This window comes from Homo sapiens, chromosome 17, assembly GCF_000001405.40.
Source record: "Homo sapiens chromosome 17, GRCh38.p14 Primary Assembly".
In the NCBI taxonomy this organism is placed as follows: domain Eukaryota; kingdom Metazoa; phylum Chordata; class Mammalia; order Primates; family Hominidae; genus Homo; species Homo sapiens.
Genome location: NC_000017.11, coordinates 47,842,360 through 47,869,218, shown reverse-complemented (window position 1 = coordinate 47,869,218; position 26,859 = coordinate 47,842,360). Strand labels below are relative to the sequence as shown.

Here is a 26,859-nt window from a genome sequence, read left to right as displayed (position 1 = left end):
GTCCAGCTTGGCAGGGGAGGGGAGGCAGTACCCTGTCCCTTCAGGCCCAAAGGATGGGGCATTAGTTTATTGGGAGTGGCACTGCCAGGCTCTGGAGGACTCTGTTCTGAGAAGCTCCTGCTCATAGAAGCAGGGAGCCCAGGGCCAAGATATGGGGGAGTGGGGAGTCAAGGGCTCACGCCCCTGGGGTCTGCCTCCCCGCCTCCTGGGCAGCACTCAGACAGCCCGGCTCTGGTGCCGTGTGTGGTTTCAGGATAAGCTGCCGATGCCACCCAGAGCGCCCTGCTGACAGACAAGGATCTCACCTGCTTTCAAAGACGCCCTTTCATCTGCCAGGGCTAATTACACCTGCAGAGCGGAGAAGAGGGCACTGGAGCCAGCCCCCTCCTTCTTCCCCCATCCCGCTCCCAAGCCCCCTACCTCAGGAACCCTTCTCCTCCCTCCCCTCTGCCTGTTCCAAAGCTCCGTGGCAGCCTCAGCACCTGCCAATTATGGCTTCTCTAGTGACAAGTGGCCCTGGCTCCTTGGAAGGAGGGTGTGTGAGAGCAGAGGGCTTGAAGATGGGTCTATGCGTATGCATGATGGTCGGGGTTAGGAGGGTCTGGCTGGCATTAGGAGGCTACTAGGGAGTAGGTGAGGGCCTCGTGAGTGTGAAAGCTCTGTCCCTTGGTGGAGGTCAGGAGCACTTTGGCTCTGATGTAGGCAGCTCTGGGTTGGCTGCCCACGTATGAAAGTGGGAAGGCTCAGTGCCCCCCACTGGCTGTGTAGGCAAGTGGCTTCCAAGACTTGGGTCGTCCCCATGGTACTTGATGCTTTTTCCTCTTCCAGCACTTCGAGTGCTGCTTTGCAACACTCTGCTCATGTGACTGAGTCTCCCGCCACCTTGTAAACACATGTGTACAGGAGGCACCATGTTGGTCCATCTTTGCACTTCATTATCATAGTATTTGCTCACTGCACACACTTGCCCGAATGGGAGTGGAGAGTGTGTGAGGGACCACTTGGGTGAAGGGGATCCCGGGAGTGTTTGGGGGCCTGTTGGCATGGCGAGGCTCTGTGCTGCAGTGAGTGGGGTGTGCCTGCTCCAGTGGTCACTGTGGGCTGCTGCGGCCACAGTGTATGCCTGCACTGGGGTCTGGATGAACCTCTGGGTAAGTGATGACCTAAGAGGATGTGTGACTGAGTGAGGGCGTGTGTGCATGTGTGTGCGCATGTGCATGCTGGTGGAGGCTCTATGTGTGTGGCTGCATGTCATGCTCTGTTCGGGAGGAACTATATCTCCCTGTGAGGGGTGGTTGGGGGACACACAGGCAGTGTGGCTGTGCTTGAGGATCTGCCAAAGGCTTCCAGTGGGGGTGAGATCTTTAGAAGGGCAGATGAAGTCTTCAGACAGATTCTTCCTTCCCAGGCTCCTCACCTCAAAACTGGGAGAGAAAAAACAGTAAGAGCCCATTTTCTTCCCCAGAATGGGGCAAGCGAGAGGGAGCTACACCATAACCACAGTGCCTTACTCCGCTCCTGGTCCAAAGGAACAGATGAAATGCCAGCAACAGGTTTCCACGGAGGCCCAGGAAGCTGAGTGGGTCCATGGGGGTGGGGGTGGGAGGATCGGAGCCTCCACTGACTGTGTGGCCAAGTGGTGGTCTACCCTTGCACAAGAGGCGTGATTCCACACTTTCTGAGATCATTACGGGTTCTTCACTCAGTCTCTTAATGTTCCTGCCACCAAAAAGCAAATAAGTTTTGGTGTCTAACCCAAGTCCTCTAGAGGTATTTCAGGCCTAGCCAGGGCCCTGCCCTCCCACTGTCAGAATTCTTAGATAGACACGAAGAATTGACAACCAGGACCCTGGATCCTCAAGTCAGGGTCACTGACATGATGGTTTCTCCACTCTCTCTCTAAGCCTCATTGCTTCTCTTCACCCTCCCACATCCCCTCTTCTGACCCCGCCTGTCTCTGGGAAATGTCATTCCCTGAGCTCCTCCTGACAGCAGGTACTTCTGGCATCTAACCGACTTATCTCATGCTCTCAGGCCCTGTTTGGGGACTGGTGCAGGGGGACCCTCACTGGGGCAGCGCGATAAGACGGGGTCTGACGGCCTGGCTGAGGTCATCAGCCGCCGAAGTACGTCAGCGATGGGTGTGTACGTCCCAGCCGGCCGCACAACCTCGCTTTCATCCTTTGTTCCTGCCAGCCCGGCCCATTCCCACCACAGATTCTCAGATTCCCAGCGTGGCGTGTCCGATGAGCAGGAGTCTTCGCCTGGACACGATCCTCTCCTGGCCCTGCCCTCTGCTCACCTCCCCCTCCCTGTCTCCCTCCCAGCCACTTTCAGAGGGGCAGTCGCTTTCCATCTCCCCACTGCCCTCTCCTTGCCAAGCCTCCAATGGCCACCAGAGGAATTGTGATTGGACACAAGGGAGAACATTTGGGGATGTTGCCAAGCGGGAACTTGGCAGGTGGTGGGTCCCTCTTTCCAGAGTGCCGATCAGCGGGTTGGGTGGGAAAGAAACATGCGTGCCTGGGGGAAGATGGGTGGGCAAGGCGATTTCTCCATCTCCCATCAGGCCGCGGATGCGATCCCAGAGCCTTTGTTCACGGTGGCTGTCTGGCTACTCCGGTCCGGCAGCCAATCCCCAAACATTTCTACATTCACCCTGGCTTAAAACTAGGTTTCCACATCACTGGAATGGTTGTTTGTATTTGGCCCTCCCATTTGCCTGCGTCATCTCTGGCAGGGATTTGAACCCTATCTCCTGGCTCCCAGCCCCTTCCCAGGCATCACCATGGCCCCCAACCTGGGCCCATCTTCCTCCTTGTCTCCAGGCAGTCCGTGGCTTGGATTTTCTACTCCATACCCCTCCTCACATCTTCCTTGACCTCATTCTCCAAGAAACCCTCTCAGAGACCCCTCCCTGGCCTTGCCTCCACCTTTCTTCCCTGCCCTCCCTCTCCTCATCCTGATACCCACGTTCTTTCCAGCCAGAGTCTTCCCGTTTCTCTTCTCTTCTGGGTGCTTGTGAATGTCAGGTCTGTATCCCCTCCCACCCCAGTTAGGTGCTCCTCAGGGACAGGAACCTTTATATTTCCCCCAATTCCCAGAAAAGCCATGAGACCAGAGCTTGGAGAAGTGAGGGAGAGGAGGAGGGCAATTATCAGGGGAGATGATGAAAAATTGGTAAGAGCTGAAGCATAAAGATGAAGCATGTCTCCCCTGAGCCCTGGCCTGGTGATCAGTGTAGAGAAGAGAAAGGAAGAGCTATGAACATTTAGTGGGGTAGATGGGGTGGGGAGAGAAAAATTACCCATCATTCCTCTTGTGGGTCTGAAGGGAGGTCCCCTGGAAGTTTTTCAAAGCGAAGACCAGGAGAGGTGAAATGGTATGTTTGGGGCAGCATGGGGGCCTGATGACTGGGGATGGAGGGAACCCACTGCACCAGCTCTTCTTTCTAGACTTTGCCCCTAGGGATAGCAGCAGCATTTGGATGCTGTTTGCTCACTGGAGCAACCCAGTGTCATAAAGGTGCTAACAAAAGTCCCCAGGCACCCTCCGATCCTGGCCTGGAAGAGAACCCACTGGTTCTTATCCTGGATCTGCCATTAATTAATTTGCTGAGTGATCTCTGGCAAGTCTCTTAACTTCTCTGGGCCTCCCTTTCCTGTCCTCACCCCTCAACAGCAGGAACAGGTGCCTGAGGGGGGAGGTGGAGCCTTCCCCAGGGTGGCTTGGAGGCAGGAGGATGGAGGAGGGTTGGACCCTCTCAGAGGCTCTTTCGGTCCTGGTGGTTGGAGCCAAGCGGTACCTTCTTGGACACTTTCCCTGGTCAGTCGGGGAGGTTGACAAGGGGGACACGGCGCCGTTTCACTCCTGAGAGGAGCATGAATCTATCCAAAGCTTCTCTTCCTACTCCCCCTCAGGATGGCTCCCGGAAATCCCTTTTGCACCCTGGGTCCCCTCCCCTAATGTTTCCCCTCCTCCTGCACAAGAGCAAGAGCACACCCTTAGGAAAGAGACTAGCCCAGCACTCCTGATGAGCAATAATTTGTTTTATGACAGAAAAGGAAATTGTCTTCAGTTTCACAAGAGCGAAACGAATTCGTTTGAAGTAGTTTGCCCTGCGGCAGGCAGGAGAAGGTTTCTCTCTAGAGCTTGCTTTCGCTCTCCTTCTCTCCCCCTCTCTCCCTCTCCCCTTCTAATTACTGCAGCTTCCAAGCTGTTGGCATGAGTCGATGCCAGGCTGTCAGATGCCAACTGCCCCAGGATCTCATCTCTTGGGTGTGGATAGGGGGATGGAGCCACAGGAACAAGGTAGGGTGGCTCTCAGTTCAGCCTCTGCCATGCCTGAAGCCTTACCTGGCACCATCAGGTAGAGAGGAGGAGGGCGGGGGCAAAGAGCAGCAAGACAAGACCCAGGAGAGCAATCACGTCCAGGGCACATCCCGGGCCTTGGAAGACCACTGGCACCTTCGGTGCCCAGAGAGGGCCTGTTAGAGGCTGGGGGGCTTTCCTGTAAGAGCTGCCCATATTTCTCGAACAGCCTTCCTTCTTCATTCTCTGTGATTGCAGCCTGGAAGCTGGAAGTCCCTGTGGGCATCTGGGCAAGGAACTGGACCATGACCACCTACTGGTGTCCAGACTCAAAGATTCGGCAGGGTGCCGTGGCTCACACCTGTAATCCCAGCACTTTGGGAGGCCAATATGGGAGGATCACTTGAAGCCAGGAGTTTGAGATCAGCCTGGATAACACAGCGAGACACCCATCTCTACAAAAAAAAAAAATTAAAAATTAGCTGGATGTGGTGGCGCACCTGTAGTCCCAGCTACTTGGAAGGCTGAGTCAGGAGGATTGCTTGAGCCCAGGAGTTAGAGGCTTCTGCAAGCTATGATGGCGCCACTGCACTCCAGCCTGGGAAATAGAGTAAAATCTTGTCTCTTAAACAACAAAAAACAAAAACAAAAACAAAAACAAAAAAAGGAAAAAAGACTCAAAGACTCATTCAGAGGTGGACAGAATGGAATGGAGAGGACAGCACTTGTGGATAATCAATGCTCTCATTAAGAAGTCCAGTGTAGGCCAGGCGTGGTGGCTCACGCCTGTAATCCCAGCACTTTGGGAGGCCAAGGTGAGTGGATCACCTGAGGTCAGGAGTTCGAGACCAGCCTGACCAACATGGTGAAACCCCATCTCTACTAAAAAAAAAAAAAAAAAAAAAAGCCAGGCGCGGTAGCTCATGCCTGTAATCCCAGCACTTTGGGAGGCCGAGGCAGGCTAACATGGTGAAACCCCATCTCTACTAAAAATACAAAAAATTAGCCGGGCTTGGTGGTGGGCACCTGTAGTCCCAGCTACTTGGGAGGCTGAGGCAGGAGAATGGCGTGAACCCAGGAGGCGGAGCTTGCAGTGAGCCGAGATCGCGCCACTGCACTCCAGCCTGGGCGACAGAGCGAGACTCCATCTCAAAAAAAAAAAAAAAAAATACAAAATTAGGCGTGGTGGCACATGCCTGTAATCCCAGCTACTTGGGAGGCTGAGGCAAGAGAATTGCTTGGACCCGGGAGGCAGAGGTTGCAGTGAGCGGAGATGGCGCCATTGCACTCCAGCCTGGGCAACAAGAGAGAAACTCTGTCTCAAAAAAAAAAAAAAAAAAGAAGAAGAAGTCCAGTGGACCAGTGGACTGAAAAATCATGGGACCCTCCTATGCCCACTTAAGGGCCCCCTTCCTCCCTCCCTTCCTTCTTTCTTCCCTTCCTTCCTTCATCTATTCGTCCTTCCATTAACTTATTCAACAAACTTACAAAGCACTTATAGAGTCCCAGGCACCATTCCAAGCACTGGGAGTAGTGCAATGAACGAAACCCCCTGCCTCCATGAAGCTTACATTCTAGTGAGGATGTTAGCTTTGGGGGAAGAGGCTGTACCAAGCACATGCCTGGAACAGGGAAGGAGCTTAAAAATATCTGTGGAATGAGTGACTAAATGCCCAGAATGAATCAGAGGTGACACTGCAAATGTTCAGCTGGTGGGTAAAAAAGAATGACTTGCTTAACCCATTCCCTGCCATGCTCCATCCCATCCTCCTTTCCTGCCCAGAGGGCCCTCCTGCTGTGGTCCAAGGGGCAGCTGGCTGTGCAGAGAGCAGGCAGACACCAGGCTCCAGGACTGCCAACCTGGCACCGCTGCTTGGCGCTGGGCGCCCTCTAAAACAACAAACTTCGTGTCTCTAATTTGGCACTTCCTGTTTATCTTTATATTATCTCCTGTCCTTGAAGCTCACAGGCTCAATCAAGGATAATGCAAAGGGCCAGAACTTTGGGGACTCAGAGATGGAAGAGGCAAGGGTGCCCTCTCTGCCAGGGTTCTAGGCTGCGCCCACAGGCACTGAGCAGAGGTCTGAAGTCCAATGCTCCAGGCACTACAGGAGGCTGAGTCTCCTCTGCACCTACACAACAGGAAGTCCCACATGCTGGGTTCTAGTTGTCCCAGGTTCATAGATCAATGCCACTTTTTCCCCTCTACGAATCTTGGTTTTCTGAACACCACAGAATAGGAAGGATTCAGCAGGAGAATCCCCTAGCTTCACTGCTGTCTCTTTCTCATCCGCACATGGCTTGGAATCACTTCTTAATGAATGACTTAACTCCTTTCACAGCCTTTGAGAAATGGATCTAACTCTGGGTGCTTTACCTTTTTTTTTTTTTTTTTTTTTTGAGACAAAGTCTCGCTCTGTGGCCCAGGCTGGAGTGCAGTGTTGCGATCTCAGTTCACTGCAACCTTCACTTCCCAGGTTCAAACGATTCTCGTGCCTCAGCCTCCCAAGTAGCTTGGACTACAGGCGTGTGCCACCACACCCAATTTTTTTTTTTTTTTTTTTGAGACTTAGTCTTGCTCTGTCACCCAGCCTGGAGGGCAGTGGCACGATCTCAGTTCATTGCAACCTCTGCCTCCCAGGTTCAAGCAATTCTTCTGCCTCAGCCTCCCAAGTTGCTGGGATTATAGGCACCCGCCACCAGACCTGGCTAATTTTTGTATTTCATAGAGATGGAGTTTCACCACGTTGGCCAGGCTGGTCTCGAACTCCTGACCTCCGGTGATCCACTCATCTTGGCCTCTCAAACAGCTGGGATTACAGGCATGAGCCACCACCATGCCAGGCTTTTTTTTTTTTTTTCTGAGACAGGGTCTCATTCTGTCTCCCAGGCTGGAATGCAGTGGTGTGATCATAGCTCACTGCAGCCTTGACCTCCTGGGCTCAGGTGATCCTCCTACCTCAGCCTCCCAAGTAGCTGGGACTACAGGCACCCTCACCATGCCCAACTAATTTTTGTACTTTTTGTAGAAATGGGGTCTGGCTATGTTGCCCAAGCTGGTCTTGAATCCCTGGGCTTAAGCAGTCTGCCCACTTTGGCCTCCTAAAGTGCCAGGATTATAGGTGTGAGCCACCGTGGCTGGCTGCCTCAGGTTTTGTTTTTTTTTCCAGACGGAGTCTCACTCTGTCTGAGTGAGACCCAGGCTGGAGTGCAGTGGCATGATCTTGGCTCACTGCAACCTCTGCCTCCTGGGTTCAAGCGATTCTTGTGCCTCAGCTTCCCAAGTAGCTGGGACTACAGGCGCGCACCGCCATGCCTGGCTAATTTTTGTATTTTTGGTAGAGATGGGTTTTCACCATGTTGGCCAGGCTGGTCTCGAACTCCTGACCTCAAGTGATCCACCCACCTCGGCTTCCCAAAGTGCTGGGATTACAGGCATAAGCCACTGCGCCTGGCCTTCAGGTTCTTGAATCCATACTCTAGGCACTTGAAAGATGAAGCTTCCTCTAGACATTGAAGTCCGCCTGGGATCAGCTGACTCTTGGAACCAAGTGAATGTGTCCACTATGCTGGGCATCAAGATGGCTGCCCTGTGGGTGGTAGGATCAGGGCAGATTCCAGACAGGCCCCCACCCCGGCCAGAGGGGCAGCCTCTGCCACCCCCAGAGCTCCAGGTAATAACCTACGGGCCACACCAGGCTCGCCAGCACCTGAGCCACCGGCAGCAGATAATGACGGGGGAGCTGGGCAGTCAGAGCCAACCCCTCAATCAGGAAGCAAATTAAAAAGGGGAGGAATCTCCCAGACAGACCACAACAATGAGACCGGCCCCCTTTCCAGGGCACTGCCCTCCTTCCCCCTACCCGCCTGATTCCGCCTGCCAGGTCCTGATACCCAGCCTCCTCTCTAATTCCCCTCTCGTGGGATCCTGCTGGAGGTTCTCTGGATGACCCTGGCTGCGGGTTGGTGGCCGTGCCCAGCTGACCAGGACACAGGATACTGGGCCTCTTATGGAGCCTTGTCTGCCACCCCTGACCTTGGATTCCTGACAGGGCACTGGGCACAGTGTCAGGGTGAAAGAGGAAGGGTCAGGGCATGTTTTTGATGCAGTGTCTTGAAGGCCATGAGGCCAACTCTCAGTGATGTGACAAAAGGGATTTATTTATTTATTTATTTATTTATTTATTTTAACTTTTTTTTTTTTTTTGTAGAGTCGGAGTCTTACTATGTTGCCCAGGCTGGTTTGCAACTCCTGGCCTCAAGTAATCCTCCCGCCTCCGCCTCCCAAAGTGCTGGGGTTACAGGCATGGGCCATTGCACCCAGCCGACAAGGGGATTTATAGAGAACTCACCAACCTCTGACCTGGCAGCCCCTTGTCCTCTGCAAAGGGTGTAAATTCAATCCAGTGCAACATATATTTATTGCACACTCAGTACTAGTTGCTGTATAAGATGCTGGGGGAGATTCAAAGATGAACAGAAATTTCCAGTCCCTCAAGGAACTCACGATCTTACACATGCACACAGCTAATTGTATTACCCATCAGAGAATATTAAACGCTCTATATTTTAGAACTATGGGAGCACAGAAAAGTACAACTTGAAAAACTGGAGAAGGCTTTAGAGAGCATGGGGACATAGGAGTTGGGATTTAAAAGATCCATAGGAGCTCATCAGGCAGAGAAATGGGGAAGAGCATTTCACACATGGAACAGTGTGGGGCGTGAAAATATGTGGACGGTAAGGATGGAGTAGAAGCCTCCTGGGGAGTGGGAAGGGATGTGGCTGGAAAGGGAGGCTGAGGCCAGATGGGGAATGGGGCTTCAATCCTAGGCCTAAGAGTGTAGATTTTCTCCTGTAGGTAATGGGGGGCTATTGAATGTTTTTGAGCTGAGGCACGACATGACTGGGATCTTTCCACCCTTGTAAGAAGTTTAAATTCCTACCGAGGGACTGAGGGGATTCTGCTTTTTCTGCCTCTGCCTGTCTCCGTGACTGACACCCAGCCAGCCTTTTCTCTCGGCTCCACTTACCGCCCTTGCTCCTTTGCCCCAAACCTCCAATTCCTTGTTCCAAGCAGGGTGACAGGGTGGGGAGCTTCACTCTCCCTCAGCCCTCACTCCAACCCTGCATGTCCCAGATACTCTGTGGGTCCTTCCACTTCCATCACACAACCAGGGCCAGCCAGGGGGACAGTAGGAAGCTGTGTGTGCTTACTTCATGGATCTTTGGGTTTTAAGTTCCCCGACCCAGGCTTCTGCCTTCACTGATGCCCTCCCCAAGCTGAGGAGCTTCTGGAAGCTTGGATTCTGGGGAGCCCTTTCTCTAATTCACTCAGCTGTGGCTTATCCATCCCTTTCTCAAAGAAAGGCTCTGGCCTGAGGACCCTGTGGCATGAAAGGATAGAGTTCTTGCCCTCAAGGATTCAACCAGTAGAGAAGATAAGAAAACAAGCCCATGGAAGCAGAGCATGAGGCAATAAGTGCTGAGGAAGTTCAGAGGAGCATGCCAGTGATGTGCGGATAAGAGAAGCCTTTGCAGAGAAAGCCGCCTATGTGCCAGCCAGGAGCTTGAAGGATAATGTGCTTTCCAGAGGCAAGAATGGCTGGCAGGGGTGGAAATGATTTCGACAAAGGTAGGAAGGCTGGACATGTTTGGTGAACATTAAATCCATTGGGCTGAGCTGGGCTGTAGGGTTTGTATGAGGACCAGCGGGAGAGAAGACTGCGTAGGTGAAGTGGGAGGGTCCTGGATGACACATTTAGCACTGTGGAGCCACTGGATGTGTTGGAGATGGGAAGTGCCAAGATGGAGTGGCACTTTAGGATGATTAGGCCAGGCATCATATCTCACGCCTGTAATCCCAGCCCTTTGGGAGGCTGAGGCAGGTGGATCACCTGAGGCCAGGAGTTCTAGAGGAGACTGGTCAACGTGGTGAAACTCCGTCTCTACCAAAAATACAAAAATTAGCCAGGCATGATGGTGGGTGCCTGTAATCCCGGTTACTTGGGAGGTTGAGGCATGAGAATCACTTGAACCCAGGAGGCTGAGGTTGCAGTGAGCCAAGATGGCGCCACTGCACTCCAGTCTGGGTGATAGAGGGAGACTGTCTCAAAAAAAAAAAAAAAAAAAAAAAAAAAGATGCTTCATCTGTCATTAATTAGGTGCAGGAAAGCTTAGGTTGGTGGGTACAGAAGTGGCATAGGAGACCTGAAAATTAATCGAGACAAGTAGTAATTTTTGTCAGCAAGTTGACACTTCCACAGAATTTCCACAGACCAGTGCCCATTTCCACCTCATTTGTCAATTAAACAAATATTTGTAAGATACTTGCTAAGTACCAGACACCATTTTAGGCTCTTTCTTCATCATCTTCCCCTGCCCTAAGATAAAAAGATGAAGGTAAACTCTCACCTGCACACACTTGGGAGATCTTACTTAGCCCAGCCTCCCCCTTGCAGCCTAAGCGAATCCAGTAGTGTCTGCCTTTGGAGCAGGTATATTGAGAAAAATCAGAGAACTACATGCAGTAAGGATTTGGGGGACAGTGAGGTAAGCAAGCTTAGGGGTGGGAGGAAGAGTAGCTTGGAAAGCAGAAAGCAGTTGGTGGGTGGGAAAAGGGAAGTTGACAGCTGAGTGTAGGGGAGCCCTGGGATCTTTAGGGGAGGGAGGCTGGGCAAGGAGGAGAAAGATGGAAGGAAGAACAGTAGGAGATGGGCCTCTGGGGCTGAGGATGGGGGCCGGAGGGAGGAACAAATTAGAGAGCTGAAGAAGGAAGTAGAGTCTTAGCAGCTAGGGGCGGGAGGAGGAGGTGGGAGACCGAGAGGCGAGGGCAGAGGAAATAGGCCCAGGCACTGGAGACGAAAGTCTGGGAGTCTGAGCCGCTGAGGAGCCACCTGGAAGGTGCAGGCAGCGGCAACATCAAACCTGAGATCCGAGGGCTGGCGCTGGGAGTGAGCTGCTGGAGTTGGGGGAGGTGGCTCGTGTGGGGGCCAGGGGGCGGGTAGGGGAGCTGAGATCAAGAGAGAGGGGCTTGAATTGAATCTACCCTCAGCCCCACTGGGTCTTCAGCTTCCTCAGCCCCCTCCCCTCTTCTGGCTCCAAAGGCCAGAAGCCAGGACTCTGCAGTCCCGCCCCCCACTCCAAGCTACAGGCCGCATGGCACCCACCCATAGCTTTCCCAGCTCCTCTCTCCCGCCCATCACTGGTGTTAGGAAAACACATTGTCTGGAGGTGCGAATAGAGGAGGAAAGGGGGTCTCCTGCCAGGTAGGGTGCTGGCTGTGTTCATTGCTGTCCAGGCAGGGTCTAAACACACCCCTGACTGATCCAGAGGCCAGGGGAAGGTGTGTGGGCCTGAAGGTCCAGGTTGAGGGCTGGGTCTTTTTCCTCTCCCAAACTCCCCCCCAACCCCAAGATTCTCCCATCTTTTGGACTGGACCTGCTACCTAAGCATATGGAACCGATTGAAAGAATTTGTATGCTCACCTTATAATTTATGCAAATCAACTCTGTAATTAACTATAATTTGGAGGCATCCTTTGGTATTTGAGACATTTATCCATGAGGAAATGCCCTAGTGATAATGCTCCCGTATTAACATTATTTACTCCACCTGTGTGGTCTCCTCAGCTTGTTTCCCCTCCCCACTCTGATTTTCTGTGCTGGAAGGTGGGGAGGGACAGGGAAGCCCCTCCCTGGAGCCTGCCTCAGTCCTGATGCCTGGGTTCCCCCAGGGGGTTGTGCTGGCCCTGTCCTCCCAATTTTGCCTAAGATTGAAGAAAGAGGTCCAGCTCTGCCTCCTAAGCCCTCTAATACTCTATTCTCTCCTGCTTGATGGGTGGCTTTCTGCTGAGCTTTTACCTCTTCAGGGCCTCAGTGTTCTCATCTCTGAAATGGGGAGAGGAAGGACCTGTCAGGGCCTTTATGGGATAATTGCTGAAAAGTTAATGAAGAGACTGGGAATCCCCAGTCTAGAGGTTGCTGAGGGTATAGGGGAGGAGCAGGAGAAGAGTTTTGGGTAAAGACTCCCTGGCTCATCCTGGGAGGGAGGTAGCATGTAAGTCTTGGGGTACTGGGTTCTGGTGTGTGTAGAGGGGGTACAACTGCTCCTGTCCTCTGCCAAGGGCATTGGGCTGTGGTCAAAAACAGGATGTCATCCCGTGAAAAGTCCCCAGGCCACTCTCCTATGTGGGTCAGAGTTCACAGCTTCAGTGAGCTTTGGGAAACAAGTCTTACTCTTCTGTTTCATCTCCGTTCTCCTTCCTGGTCTTTTGTCCATCTCTGCCCTGGGACATGTTTGTGTTAGCCAGTATACCTAAACTTACAACCACCCTAAAATTAGGCTCATATAAATAGAGATCTGGGGGCTCCCCCTAAATTCACCTTCAGGCCCCTTCTCCCTTTTCCAGGCCACCTTCCTACCCTCTTCACCCTCCTGGAGTTCCAGGAGTCCTGAACTGTCTGTAGCAGTTCTTGGCTGGACTCTGCCTCTGGTCTTTCTGGTCTTAGGTGACCTCTTGTCCATCCTAAGCTTCCCCACTCCATCCAAAGTCAGGGAAAAGGTCCTCCCTTCCCATTTGACAATGAGAGATCCCAGGTCCAAAAGATAGATTACACTGGGTCCTCTTGGGGGATCCAAGTTGGGAAGTGAGTATGTAAAAAGAGGATGAAAAGGGAGCGAGAGAAATTGTGGCTCAGAGAGGCCAACAACACTGACATGAAGCTCTGCAAGGAGGAACTGACTTGAAGACGTGTGGTGTGTGTGTGTTTGTTGGGGGCATGAGCCCTTCAGGTCTCAAAAATGGAACTTCTTTCTCTCTTACCAAGTCCATGGAGGAAAACTCAGGAAGAGGGGATGGAATTTGGAGAGTTCCAGCTATCCCAGCTCTCCACCCTAGCAATGCTGTCATTTCCTCCATCCTGCAAGAACCACTTTGTCCCTCTCCCACTGCCCAGCCAACTCTGCGGAAGGAAGGAAGTGCCCCCAGCCCCCACTCCCAGCTGAAATCCTCCTTTCCTGGCAGACCTCACGGACTCAGATCTCACCTCCTACCACTCCCCTAGGAGAGCTGGGGGCCACTGTTTCCTGGATTATCCTAAAAGCTTCTGAGGCCGTGAGGACTTGGCAGCATCCCTGCTCCCTCCTTCACCTCCCCCTTTGGCACTGCCTGTCACCTCCTTTATAAAGCCTGGCTCTTTTATCACCGCCACTTGGCCCTCACTGCCGCCGCCAGCTCTGGGCTCCATGGACTGGTAAGAGAGGCTGTTCCCTGTCCAGTACAGGGGACCTCCACAAAGAGGATCAGGTCTCCACTCTAAAGTGGGGGTCATAGAGAAGGGTCTGGTTCTCTCTGAATTGGGAAGGGGGAGATAAGAGGGAGATCTTGGTGGGGTTTGCATGGAGAACTAAAGGGATCCCTTGGAGGTCTTTTGACTGGGCTGGGGTAGTCAGCCCAGTGGAGAAGTGGGGTAGGGATTCATAGCTGGGAACTTTATTTCGAGAGAAAGGAAGGGCAAATAAATGTTAATAGAAATACAGGGCACACACACTCACTGCCCTGAATGACAGAACACCTGCAAGGATAGTAAGGGAGAAACCACTATCCACATCCTATGGGGAACTGCATTTACGGTGGAGGAGAGAAGACACCCTACACTCAAGCCCACAGGTACACACAGGCATAATATGTACACACATTTGTAGATATACACACACCGACATACAGATGCACTATCCTCAGGTGGGTTCATCTTCTAGACTGAAAAGCGATGGTGGTAGCTAGGGATTTTGAAATTTATAATAAAATTAGTGTCCAGCATTGTGCTTGGCCTTAAGTAGACCCTCGATAAGTGTTTGTTGAATGAAATAAAGGATGAATGAAAGAAAACTATTTGACCCCAGCTTTAGGCTCTATCTGGTTTTCTAAGAATCAGGAGAGTATGGTGGGGAGAGGAGGGGAAATAAGGAATATGTTGGCATCCAGGGTCATCAGCTTGCAGGCTTGGAAGTGCAGCCCGAAGGTGGGAGTGGGAAATGGAGGAGAGGAGTGAGTGAGAAGAGGAAAACAGGACCAGACTCTGGTCTGGTCCCAGCTCTGCTTCTAACTTGCTACTAACGTCCCTGTTTTGGGGTTTGGTTTCCCTACCAGTAAAACGAGGGCTTGGACGAGACAATTTGGGGCTAGACCAGCTTTGATATTCTCATAGTGCAATCTCTACAGGACAGTTGAAGTTTGGAAGGGATCACAAGTGTAGAGTCTGACTTGTCTCAGCAATTCAAGATGGGATCAGTTTGTCCATTAGACTCAAGATAGGAGATGGCTTTGATCTAGGGATTCATTTAAGAATGCTGTTTCCTCCACCTTCAGGCTCTAGGGGAGCCAGACTTCCAGGGTCATCAATTCTGCCATATTGAGGCCAGATGGACTAGTAGGCAGAATACAGGCTTTGGAACCTGAGAGATCTGAACTCAGTTTCTTCTTCTGTCTTTTAACAACTCTGTAATCTTGGGTAGATCATTTAACTTCTTTGATCTTTGGCTTCCTCATCTGTACAACGGGAATAATAATAATTACTTTGCTGCATGCCCATGAGAATTAGAGATATTTGTGTAAAGCATCTGGAACATAGTAGGTGCTCAGTAAATAAATGCCGTTTGTGATAAACACGCAGACTAATGAGATTTCTCCAGGTACAAAGTGGATCACTGACTATAGATGAAGCTTGAGAAGAAGAGGGGTGGCAGGAATGGGGGTTGGACACTTGCAGGGGAAATCTGACTATTTATTTGAGAGAATGAGGAAGAGCAGCAGAAATGGCCCAAGTCCAAGACAGATCTCAGTTTATACAGGAGATGTGATGGGCTGTGTTGTTCAATTTTGAGTAGCAATAAGTATATGGGCAATGGGCTGTGGTGACCTTGCTCATTAAGTTAACATCAGACCATGCGCCGTCATTCGGTGGGAAAACATTTAGCAAGTGGGAAACCAAAAGGGCTGGAAGCAGAGGACTGCAAGTAGAGGGGGACTGGAGGAAAGATAGTGCCAGTACCCTGAGTGAGCAGCAGAAACCTAGGCAGAGCAGGAAATCAGAATGGCTGGGAGTTTCCAGAGACAACTGCATTGTTGTTGAATTTCCTGCTGATGAGCTGCAGGCAGATGGAGGGTCTTTGCTGGTGGAATTCCAGATGGCTACAGGTCTGGTTGGATCGGGGCAGGGCTAAAGGGGGCCTAGAGTGAAAGTAGCAGGGAGTGTCTACCATCCTCGGGCTGAATCCCTGTTGCTTTCCAGGGAAAAGGCAGAAGGGGCCAGGAAGAGAAGGCAATCTGATGCCTATAAATGGGAGGGGAACTTGGTCCCCTACCCAGAGTCAGACCCCTGCACAGGCTTTAGCACCTTAGGAACAGTAGATGCAGCACCAGCAGGCAGCTTGGAGGAGGAGGCAGGAATGCCCAGAGGTCAAATCAGGAACCAGAGTCCCCCACTGGGGGCTCTGTTTTGGACCTGATGAGTGTCTACTCCATTCCAGAGGTAGCTGTGAACTAGGATACAAACCCAACTGGCCAGGATTTGTAGGCTGAATGGATGGAGACAAAGCTGCGTTGATGAAGAGGATTGATTGTCAAATTAGCCATGGCCACAAAGATCCAGAGCAGTTCCTGTGAATCCACATCCAGAGCCCCAAGTAACAAGAAGGCAAAAAGCAAACCCCGACTGATCAGAAATCTCAATCCCCCGATGTCAGGCGGCATCTCCGGCTTCCAAATACCTGTCACTTCTCTAGCTTGGTGGCTGCTTTTACAGCATTTCACCAAGGAAGAAACTGAGGCTTAGAGGCACCTGACCTGCCAGGGTCAGTTTAGCAAGTGCAGGGCTGGGGCTAGAATTTAAATCCGTCAACTTCTAGTCCACAGGTCTTTGTGCATACACCTTAATCCAACCAATATTTACCTGGAACTGACTTATTTAATAATTATAACAAGGATATCTTCCATTTACCCGGCGCTTACCAGGGGCCCCTTGGGCTAAGCATTTTTAGGCATATCAATTCCTTTAAGCCCCCAGGAGACCCTACCAATGTGTACCCAGGTTGTCCGGATGAGGGAAATGAGCCTTAGAAAAGAGGGAGATGCACAGATGAATCCGACGTCGATTCTGGATAAGAACGTGTGCGTGTCTGAGGGGTACCATGCACATACGCATACACACATGGATTGATTTTCACCCCGCTTATGCACTCGGTTTAGCTATTTTTGAGTTACAGTTTGAGTGTGTCCCAAACGGGCATGCAGGACAGGTAAACCAATGGCGGGGGGGAGTAGGGGCTGTAGAGGCGAGATTAAATCAGCCTAAATTCAAGTATGAAATCGACTGTAAAGAGGAAAACGAAATTTTAAAAAGCCGACGGCAAAGCGCACAGAGGAGACGAATCTGAAAAATGAAAGAAATAGGGAAATTAATCTGCATTCCCCTGTGAAAAAAGGGGTCACATGGAGAGATCAACACTGCGGCATGGGAGTGAAGCATGGGGCCACCTCAGCGGCCAGGCAGAAGAATGCGTGGGTGGAGGACGGAACTTCCCTACCCACCGGTGCTTTGCGGGTCTCGGAAATGTCGACCCATCCAGATCTTGAGGGAAGTTTTTGTGAGCTCCGCGAGCGCGCTGAAATTTTACCAGAATATTGCACTGGGCATGTGAATTTTTCTCAAAGGAATCCAAGACCCCTCCCCAAAGTTAAGAACCTTGGGTTTAGTTATTCTGGTGAGAATTAGAAAGGAATGGTGGCAAGGGATAGCTCAATTCCTTCCAGAAGTGTCCCTTCCCAGGGCCATTCAGGCGCCTGCCCATTCTTCAGAACCGGGTGCTCGGGGGCGAGGGTGTGCGTAGGCTGAGCATTTCCCGAAGGACAGGAGGGCGAGGAGAGGCGAATTTGAGAGGTGGATTTCTTAGGCACTGGGGTTGCTACCTAAGGGGAGGGGCAGAGTGACAGCTGCTGGGACCTGGGACCAGAGTAGGGGGGAAGCAGAGACCGGTGGTGGGCAGAGGCTGGGAGAGGGGAGGAGAGGAGGTGGTCACCCAGAAAGGTCAGAGAGGGATACCCCGGAAGGGAGAGGGAAAAAAGGACGGGGAAGGGTGGTGGTGGAGAGAAGCGGCGCGGGGTGCGGGGGGTGAGGCAGGGCAGGGGACGGGGGTCGGGGGTCGGGGGAATGGCGAAGGAGGGCAGCCAAGACAAATTTCACACGGCCTAGGCCTAGAGGCGAACTGGAAACATACTTGGCGCTCAATCTTGTTTCCTTCTTTCCTCCCAGTTCCGGGGCAGGGCTGTCCGTTCAGAGAGGGTCAAGGGCCATCGAGGCAACCTAAGGGTTGCTGCCTAAGGGTGGCTCTGTCTCACCCCCAGGACCTGCCCCCTTATCCATTCCCCCTGGGTCTTAGTCCTGCGTCCTCTGCTAGACCGAGCTAGCTCCAGGGCAGTTTTCCACCCGGCGGGGCGGGTCTTAGAACCTGGGAATCACCCCACCCGGGCCCCTCTCCCTGGGAGTGGAGGGGACCAGGGAGGAGCGAGGGAGCGGGCGGCGCACGCCCTAGTTATCTTTCCTCCCCCACTCCCGCCCACCCCCTCCTCGCGGCCCTGGCTGGGCTCCGGTCCAGCCGAGCCCTCAAGGGTTAAAGGCGGCCGCAGGTGAGGTGGGCGGGGCCGCGAGTCCGGGGGAAAAAGCAGCGCTGGGGAGAGGATGAAGGCAGAGAGCGCGGGTGAGTCACGGGCGGAGCTGGCCTTGTTCGCTCGCTGGCTCCTGCCCGCCCTCCGTCCTCCGCCCTCTCGCCAGCGCTCACCTCCGCCGCCTGCCGCCTGCCGCCAGCCGCCGGGTCTGGCTCGCCCTGGGCTCCTGCCCCTTACCGCTGGAGAGCTCGCCGGCGCACAGGGCCTATGAGCGACCGTCAGTAGCGCACCAGCCAGCCGTGCCCGGAGCCCGCCGCAGCCTCGAGGTAGGAGCGCGGGTCGGGGTGGCCAGGGGTGAGCGCTACGGAGATTGTCTCGAAAAAACGCACTCCGAACGCGCCCCAGCCTCCTATGGCCTTGGGAGCGGGGTGGTCCTAAAGGATCTGAGAGGTTAGAACCCCGATGGAGGGAAAACTGGGCGGACGGGAGAGACTGGAGGGACCGAGGAGGCTGGAAACCGGGGCAACTGGAGCGACTGGGACAACCAGAGGACCGGGACATTGAGAACTGGGAGTACTAGCCGGTGATCCAGAGAGGCAGAGCCGAATGGGGCATAAGGGTGCACCGACTTGCCTTCCCACTTCGGGGAGCGAGAAGCCTGCGATGTACGCTGTGCTCTCTCCTTTCCTGAACTCTTTCTAGGCCTGGAAGTGAACCGGACACATACTTGGCACTCAATCCTGTTCCCTTCTTTCCTCTCAGCTCTGGGGCAGGTGGGTCAAGGACCATAGAGGCAACCTAAGGGTTGCCACCTAAGGGTGGCTCCATATCACCCCCAAGACCTGCCCCCTCCTCTATTCTCCTGGGTCTTAGTCTTGCATCTTCTGCTAGACTGAGCCAGCTCCAGGGCAGTTTTCCACCCAGTGGGACTGGTCTTAGAACCTGAGAATCACCCCGCTTTGGGTTTCTGAAATCTTGGTAGCAGGCCATTGCATCCCAGGCCTGGGCTCTCCAGCTCTCTGCCAGGAGAAGCCACTCTGGAGCCCAGATTATCCTAGCCTTCCCATCCTCCAGCCCCTGGGGCAGTTCCCAGGCACCAAAAGCTGTTAGGGTCCCTGGCTTCACAGCTCCCGCTCAGCCCCTTCTGTGCTGCCCCACCCCGGCCTGGGGCTCCTTTCCTGCAACTTCACCCTGTTTTCCTCTTGTGGTGAGGCAGCCGGAGCCTGAGTAGGTGCCCCCGTCCTCCTCTCCCTCCCTCTCCCAGGCTATCAGTGCCACCTCCCTGGTCCCAGAGGCAGGAGATGGTAGGGTCAGCTAAGCCCTGCTGTAGGAAGGAAACAATCCTGCCCTAAGTCACTGGTCTCCTCCCCCACCAGTAGAGAAGACCCAGGCACACAAACCTGCCCAGCTGAGGCACCAGGGCTTCCAGGCCTTAGGGAGAGGTGGTGAGAAAAGAGTGAACTTCAAGCCACAGATATGTGGTTGAGAAAGCGTTGGGGGTCTTTAGCGTTCTAAGGGTCTACAGAAAGATTGGTTTACAGAAAGTAACAGACTGAGAGTCCAGGAGTTAGGAGACCTGGTTTATTGAATGAATAAATGAACATCCTTGTCCAAGTCACTGTGCCAAGTCATTCAGTCTGCTTCCTTCTCTTCAAAATAAGAAGATTGGCCTGGAGCAGTGGTTCTCAACATTTGCTGCATATAAGAATCTTCTGGTGGTGGTGGGGAGCTTCTGAAAAATGATCCATGCCTAGGATGCACTTGCTTATGTCATCTTTTTGGGCAATTCTTGCTCTTAGGTTCTGTGGTTATGACTTCTCTTGTTGCCCTCCTCTTCCTGCACTCTGACCTTGTATCACTTAAAGGGGTGCAATTGTATCTTCCAGAGCTTGCTGTCAAGCTCTTCTCTGGGGAAGCCATTCCCTCCCAACTTTCTATCTGGGCCTCCCCTAGCATGGAGAGGAAGATGGGTAGCAGTCAGAGAGTTGCCTGGCACTGGTATGAGTCAAGAGAGGGATGGAAATTTGGTTTTCTCTGGTGGGGGTATCTCCCAGATTCCAGGGGTATCTGGTGGCCAGAAAGCTGCTCCCCAGGGAGGTGAAGTCCCTGCTTGAGGGAAGGGGGTGGGGGCATGTGAGTCGGTTTAGTGGGCCCGATGTGACCAGGCCAGGCGGGGAGCAGCGTAGACGGTGAAATGCTTTTCATTACTGAACATGCTTTGGGAATGGCATGAGAACTCTTTCAAAGACTCAGGACCCGTTTGAGGCTTTATGAGGGGCAGGTCACCTGAAGCTTTGGGTTTCAGAAATAGACCATCCCCTCTCCCATCTGTATCCTGAGTTAAACTGGGGAAGCTGAGATGTGTCTAGATCCTCCATTTGGGCTGACAGCAGGTCTGCAGGGGGAAAATGCCACTGCCCCTTGTGTTGGCCTGGGCAGCTGGGGTGGGGATGGTTCTAGCACTGTGCTGTAGGTGTATCTGACCTACCATCCTGGGAGTGGCCCAACTCTAGGGATGAGCTGGGTCATACGGCAGGGATCACCCAGAGGAAGGTAGACCTCCATCATCCTCTGTGCTTGGATGAGAACCTCACATCTTGGACCCTTCCTCGCACTCCCGAATTCTCTAAACTCATCTCTAGTCCTCGTTCAGAGGTGCATCCTTCTTTTACACCTGGGGCCAGAGAGGAGGACCTGGGTTAGGAGGGAAAGTGAGCTGGTTATTTCCCTTACTTTTCTGCTTCTTCGCCTCCTTTAGGTCCCGTCTGAGGTGCCCCTGACCGTCCCTGCCCTCACCCCACCCCGGATCCCGGCAATGCTAACCGCTGTCTGCGGCTCTCTGGGCAGCCAGCACACGGAAGCGCCGCACGCCTCCCCGCCGCGCCTCGACCTGCAGCCTCTCCAAACTTACCAGGGCCACACGAGCCCTGAGGCCGGGGACTACCCCTCCCCGCTGCAGCCTGGAGAGCTGCAGAGCCTCCCGCTGGGCCCGGAGGTGGACTTCTCGCAGGGCTATGAGCTGCCAGGGGCCTCCTCGCGGGTAACCTGCGAGGACCTGGAAAGCGACAGTCCCTTGGCCCCGGGCCCCTTTTCCAAGCTCCTGCAGCCGGACATGTCACACCATTATGAATCGTGGTTCAGGCCGACTCACCCAGGCGCGGAGGATGGCTCGTGGTGGGACCTTCATCCGGGCACCAGCTGGATGGACCTCCCCCACACTCAGGGCGCGCTGACCTCACCTGGCCACCCGGGGGCGCTTCAGGCGGGCTTGGGGGGCTACGTCGGAGACCACCAGCTTTGTGCCCCGCCACCCCACCCGCATGCGCACCACCTCCTTCCAGCTGCCGGAGGGCAGCATCTCCTAGGGCCGCCCGACGGGGCTAAGGCCTTGGAAGTAGCCGCCCCGGAGTCTCAAGGGCTGGATTCCAGCCTGGACGGGGCGGCGCGTCCCAAAGGCTCCCGGCGGTCGGTGCCCCGCAGCTCAGGCCAGACCGTCTGTCGCTGCCCCAACTGTCTGGAGGCGGAGCGACTGGGGGCTCCATGTGGGCCCGATGGGGGCAAGAAGAAGCATTTGCACAACTGCCACATCCCGGGCTGCGGGAAAGCCTACGCCAAGACGTCGCACCTGAAGGCGCACCTGCGCTGGCACAGCGGCGACCGTCCCTTCGTGTGCAACTGGCTCTTCTGCGGCAAGCGCTTCACGCGCTCGGACGAGCTGCAGCGCCACCTCCAGACCCACACCGGCACCAAGAAGTTCCCCTGTGCAGTCTGCAGCCGCGTCTTCATGCGCAGCGACCACCTGGCCAAGCACATGAAAACCCACGAGGGCGCCAAGGAGGAGGCGGCTGGGGCGGCCTCGGGAGAGGGCAAGGCCGGCGGCGCAGTGGAGCCCCCCGGGGGCAAAGGCAAACGCGAGGCCGAGGGCAGCGTGGCTCCCTCCAACTGAGCTCCTCAGTGCCGCCTCCCTGCGGGTATCCCGGGGGGCACTGGATGCGAGCCCCCAGGTCTGACGTCCTTGGGGGTGGCTTGAGGAAGAGGGGAAGGTGCGTATTTATTCAGGGAGGAGGAAAAGTGGTGCAGGGACAGGGAGATGGGGCGCTAGGGGTTCTTAGTCTCTGGGGCTACTAGGCAGGATGAATTTGACTGGGTCGGTAGGAGCTGCGCAATGCCCCTCTGTTCTCCCCTGCCTCACAGTTTCCCTCGCCCCTGGGCTGGGGGGTTGGGGTGGGACACCCGTACCGCGGCTGGCTGGCGGGGACAGGCTAGAGGAGACAGCAAGTCCCAGTCCCCGGAGCAGAGAGAAGTGGGGCCGGCCCGGGGCGCTGGTGGTGGCTGTCTGGACACGTCCTTAGCGCCTGGGAACCAGGACATAAAAGCGCCTCCGGAGCCGCCCTGCGGCGGGGTCCCTTTCATCCCACTTAAAGTGCTTCTGCCCCTAGGGTTTCCGGAGGGAGAGCCGAGATGGGATGGGGGAGCCTGGGGGTCCCCCTTGGCAGGGGTGTCTCTTTCTGGTTTGGAGGGTTGTTGCTGTAAAAATAACTCCTTTGATGAGCTTCCTTATTAACCCTTTCAGACCCAGTCTGTTGGAGCCATGAAGGAAGAGGGAAAGAGGGCTGCCATTCCTGACAGCCTCCCAGCCAGGGCTGGCGATAAAGGACCGAGATAGATGGAGGGGGCGAGTAGGGAAGTCCTCTTCTAAAATGAGAGATAGGGATTTGGTGGGGTATGGAAGGAACTAACCCCTTCCCTCTCCACCTCTGATTCAGCCCTTAATTCTTGGTCTATGATAAATAAAGTTCAGTAGTCTCACATTCCCCATCTATTACCCTAGGTGTGTTTTCAAGGCAGCCAGCGGTAGAATCCATGTAGTTCCCACCAGTTGCCTTCCCCTCAGGGATGGAAGGAAGAGGGTTTCTTGGGCTGGTTGAGGGCAGATTGGGGGTGTCTCATCAGAGGGACCTCCACTGGTTCCCACTCAGAGTGGAGGCCTGCAGCCTACCTGACCATCTCTTTAGCTGTCACCAAGAAAATAAACCCCACTGTCTCTCTAGCTTGGCCCTTGTCTTTCCCTTGCCCCTGCCATAGCATGTTCATTAGGGGATTCCTTCCTCCCCCTCATCTCACAGGGGAAGGGAGAGGAAAGAGTTGTTCTCCCACTGGAAGGGGTTCTGCCTTCTGAGGTGACATCCAGGAAGCTGTCCCCATTCCCTTCTCCTTTAGATGCTAGAAACACATTTTGATTCTGATCATGGGGTGGGGGAGAGAGGAAAGGAGGGAGGGGAGAAGCCCAGCAGAAGCTGAGCCAGGCAGAGGGGAAAGAAGCTGATATGAGGAAGGGTCTGACAGGCCACAGCCCTTGCAGCCGGAGGGCTTTCCCACACTCAAGAGAGGGGCCTTACAGTCCCTCTGACACCCCTCCCCCTTCCCCTCGCTCCCTTTCTTCACCCGGAGCCCTCTGCAGAGATTAGCTGTGTATTGATTTTTAAGTTATAAGCAAAGGGTATTTTATTTAATATTAGGTTATGTGTGTGCATGTTGTGTGTACCTGTGTGCATGTATGTGTGTTTCTCTACTGAGCCTGGGGTCTCTAGCCAGGGAGACCCCATCTTATTCACCATGTCCAAGATCCTGGGATCTGGGCCCAGCATCTCTTCCTCCTTTGTAGATGCTGGAGCCCAGCCAAGGTCTGGGAGCTATATGGGAAGTGGGGGCTGGGATCTGGGTGGGAATATGTGTTTGTATACAAAGGGGCCCTCCTTAAAAGGGACAGGATGACCTTCCCGAGGAACTCATTGGCCTGGGGTAGTTTAAGAAGTAATGTTCTTTCTTTCTTTCTCTTTTCCCTACCTCCTGCTAACCCAACCAGAGATCCCCTTCCTTGCTGAGAGGGTTGGGGGCAGGAGGAGATTTGGCAGTGCCTGCAGGTTGCCTGGCCAGGTGGAGAGGGGGAAAGAGGAAGGGCACCGTGGGTGTAAGATGCCTTTCTCCTCCACCCATCGAAACCAGCCACCCCTTCCCTGTGCCACCAAGACAGCCTTTTCCAGTGGCCATCCTAAGGGGAACTCCCAAATGGGTGTTGCTGGTGGACACAGATGCTCCCCCCAATGGAAGCCCCAAGCTCTGAGGTATGCGGGTAGAGGCTTTGGATAGGTTTTCTTCTGCTCCCCTCTTTTATAGATCTAGGCTGCTTGGCTGCCTGTCTTTCTAGGCAGTCCCCCTAGAGGAAAAATGTAGGAATTTATTTTTTCTTTAACTGCTGTGAACTCACTTTGAGGGGGTAGGAGGAGGGAGAAACAGCCTGTGTTTTTTATGCAATAAAGTCATCAACTACATCATGCTTCCTTTGTGTTCCAGCTCTGTTTCCTTTTTGACTCAGTGTCCCTCAGCAGTGAGGACCAGGTCTGGGCCACAGAGTGGGGTGGATGCTTCCCAGTGATCCTGCAGCCCCTTGGAAAGCCTCATGTCTATTGAGTTGGGTTGGAGCTGGGGTCTGATCCTGCCCCAGAGGTGGCTGGTACAGAAGGAGGGAGGTTCTTCCTCTGGGTTGGTACCCGGGCTGTCCCTCCCTGGTCTCATACCTGTGGTTATGAGAAGTTTCTAGATATCTCTTTCCTCTTCCACATACAAGCCCCTTCTTTCCCTTCCCCTGCTAAGAACACTGGTTCCCTCTTTCCCAGGCACTGGCTCCCTCACTCCATCCCCATAGAGGGTGCATGTCAGTCCATCCCCTGCCTGTGACTGAGCTGGGGGTGATTGGCAGTGATTACTTCACCCAGGATGATCCTTATCAGGGACAAGGCGATGAAAGGCAGCCGAGCTATCTGATGGGCTCCTGCCCAGCTGGAAAGTATGAGGGAAAGGCTCCTACTGTAGCTCACAGCTAGAGACCCACCATGGTTACACAACCACAAGGCACACAAACATACCCGCACTGGACCCACGTGCACCCGCCCCCAGAGATATGCAGAAATATCTATCTGTACACATCTTCCCAGGCCTCCCAGTGCTTGATACAAAGTTGGTGCCTAATTCACATCAAATGAGTAGAAAGCCTCATGATTCCAGAGCCCCAAAGCCAGGAAGGTTGACAGAAGATAGGTTTTGGGCTCCAAGGGGGCTGGGGGGCGGGGGTTACTATGTTCTTTCACCTTCTCATTCTACCTTTTTGCCAAAAGTATTATTTTCCCCTAGTGGGATTTCTAGATCCACCACTCTAACCCTAACCCAATTTCTCGAAGCCAAATCTGGTACTCAGGCTGGCCCATCCCATAACTTAATTTGGGATCCTGGGGTCACAACCTTTATGGCTACCTTAGGATAGGGGCATCAGAATGAATGATTTAGGGGTTGTAGAGGAAACCAGACTGGTTTGGGGCCAATTGTTTTGTTTCCACCTGCTGCTAGATTTAGAAGGCTGGGAGGAGGAAGGACAGGTGTGTTTTCCTAAGACCTTATGCCAGCCCCACTCCTCCAGGTGCCTCTTTTGTCTTCCTGGTTCTAGGGGAGTTAGACCCCAGGAACTTGGTGAGTCCCCTCCTCCTTTACCCCCATCGCTGCCCCCAGGGACAGGAGGGCAGCTGTGCGGCCGGCTGGGCCTGTCTGGGCAGGGCTGGGGCCACCCCTCCTCCCCATGCAGCTCCTCCCGCTGACCTGCATTCTTAGCAGGGGCCTTTGGTGGGGCTCTGACACTTGCTTCCTTGCTGGAAATGCTGCCTGGCTGGCCTGCCCCCCATCCCCCCCACGACGGAACCCAAAGCCACCTCTGACCCCCCTCAGATGGGGTGCCTGGCAGGAGGATCATGGATGGCCCAGGAAAGGGTTAGGGAAATCAGAACATCTGGGCTGGCTCTCTGGGTTCCTCTCCTGGGAAGTGGAAGTAGAATCTACTCCTAACCTCTAGGGTGGGTGAATGAAATAAGAAATGAGAAAGTGACAGAGAAGAAGACAGCCTGGAAACTGCAACCTGGGGGTGCGCTGTGGCCTCTCTCTGCCTCTCCTCCTGCCTGTTTCCGCCCCACAGTGGGAAGCCGGGAAACTGCAGGAGATGAACCCGCCTTCCTGCAAGCTGCTTCAGGTGCCCAGATTTCTCAGCACGCAGCTTCGATGTTTGCTTCTGGAATGACATTAATTGGCAACCTCACAATCCCTCCCCGACACTGTATCAGAAACAGCCTTCACCTTCCCATTAATCCTAGCATGACTGACCGCCAGCACCCTAGCACAGTAGGCTTGAAAGAAGGCCAAACTCCACTAAAACACTGTTAGAATTGTTTTCTTTCTTTCTTTCTTTCTTTTTTTTTTTTTTGAGACGGAGTTTTGCTCTTGTTGCCCAGGCTGGAGTGCAATGGCGCGATCTCAGCTCACCGCAACCTCCGCCTCCCAGGTTCAATCGATTCTCCTGCCTCAGTCTTCCCAAGTAGCTGGGATTGCAGGCATGTGCCACCACGCCTGGCTAATTTTGTATTTTTAGTACAGATGGGGTTTCTCCACGTGAGCCAGGCTGGTCTTGAACTCCCAACCTCAGGGGATCCGCCCACCTCAGCCTCCCAAAGTGCTAGGATTACAGGCATGAGCCACCACACCCGGCCCACTGTTAGAATTGTTAAGCAAATACAGTAAAGTCAGAGGATACAAGGTCAATGTACAAAAGTCAATAGTGTTCCTATACACTAATAACAAACTATACAAAAAAGAAATCAAGAAAATAGTCCCATTTACAATAGCTACCAAAATAATAAAATATTTAGGAATAAATTTAACCAAAGAGGTGAAAGATCTGTACTCTGAAAATAAGATATTGATGAAAGAAACTGAAGAAGACACAAAGACATGGAAAGATATTTCATGCTCACGGATTGGAAGAATTACTATTGCTAAAATGTGCA

At 53.6% G+C, this 26,859-nt stretch overlaps 1 protein-coding gene across 3 annotated transcripts in view, besides 7 other annotated features; it reads left to right on the top strand.

Annotated features, from left to right (window-relative positions):
• Positions 1-24,311, top strand: part of SP6 (Sp6 transcription factor) — a 31,404-nt gene extending 7,093 nt beyond the window's left edge. Inside the window, exons 1-2 of one of the 3 annotated variants that reach the window (NM_199262.3) lie at positions 13,522-13,565; positions 20,733-24,311. In NM_199262.3, coding sequence (NP_954871.1) covers positions 20,790-21,920 — 1,131 coding nt within the window. In that variant the 5' untranslated portion in view covers positions 13,522-13,565; positions 20,733-20,789 and the 3' untranslated portion in view covers positions 21,921-24,311. Of the gene's footprint in view, positions 1-13,521; positions 13,566-18,055; positions 18,301-20,732 lie in introns of those variants that run through there. The other 2 variants (NM_001258248.2, XM_006722115.4) reach the window with 2 other exon arrangements.
• Positions 1,351-2,550: an enhancer, noted in NCBI's record as "BRD4-independent group 4 enhancer chr17:45944035-45945234 (GRCh37/hg19 assembly coordinates)". NCBI's record gives its function as "activates an origin of replication core promoter dependent on BRD2, P300/CBP, MED14 and CDK7 cofactors, and independent of BRD4, by STARR-seq in HCT116 cells {active_cell/tissue: HCT116}" and the evidence as "EXISTENCE:reporter gene assay evidence [ECO:0000049][PMID:35650434]".
• Positions 1,351-2,706: a biological region, named in NCBI's record as "BRD4-independent group 4 enhancer GRCh37_chr17:45944035-45945234". NCBI's record gives its function as "regulatory_interactions: SP6".
• Positions 1,668-2,470: a transcriptional cis regulatory region, noted in NCBI's record as "candidate enhancer chr17.3281 targeted for multiplex CRISPR interference". NCBI's record gives its function as "positively regulates SP6 gene expression with high confidence in K562 cells {active_cell/tissue: K562}" and the evidence as "EXISTENCE:mutant phenotype evidence [ECO:0000015][PMID:30612741]".
• Positions 2,196-2,706: an enhancer, noted in NCBI's record as "H3K4me1 hESC enhancer chr17:45943879-45944389 (GRCh37/hg19 assembly coordinates)". NCBI's record gives its function as "activates a minimal SCP1, AML or CMV promoter by ChIP-STARR-seq in naive H9 embryonic stem cells {active_cell/tissue: H9 hESC(naive)}" and the evidence as "EXISTENCE:reporter gene assay evidence [ECO:0000049][PMID:30033119]".
• Positions 15,236-15,427: a silencer, noted in NCBI's record as "fragment chr17:45931158-45931349 (GRCh37/hg19 assembly coordinates)". NCBI's record gives its function as "represses an EF-1alpha promoter that drives an FKBP-Casp9 reporter gene in an ReSE screen in HepG2 liver carcinoma cells {active_cell/tissue: HepG2}" and the evidence as "EXISTENCE:reporter gene assay evidence [ECO:0000049][PMID:32094911]".
• Positions 21,494-22,102: an enhancer, noted in NCBI's record as "H3K27ac-H3K4me1 hESC enhancer chr17:45924483-45925091 (GRCh37/hg19 assembly coordinates)". NCBI's record gives its function as "activates a minimal SCP1, AML or CMV promoter by ChIP-STARR-seq in naive H9 embryonic stem cells {active_cell/tissue: H9 hESC(naive)}" and the evidence as "EXISTENCE:reporter gene assay evidence [ECO:0000049][PMID:30033119]".
• Positions 26,047-26,096: an enhancer, noted in NCBI's record as "active region_12319". NCBI's record gives its function as "activates an Ori minimal core promoter by ATAC-STARR-seq in GM12878 lymphoblastoid cells {active_cell/tissue: GM12878}" and the evidence as "EXISTENCE:reporter gene assay evidence [ECO:0000049][PMID:35858748]".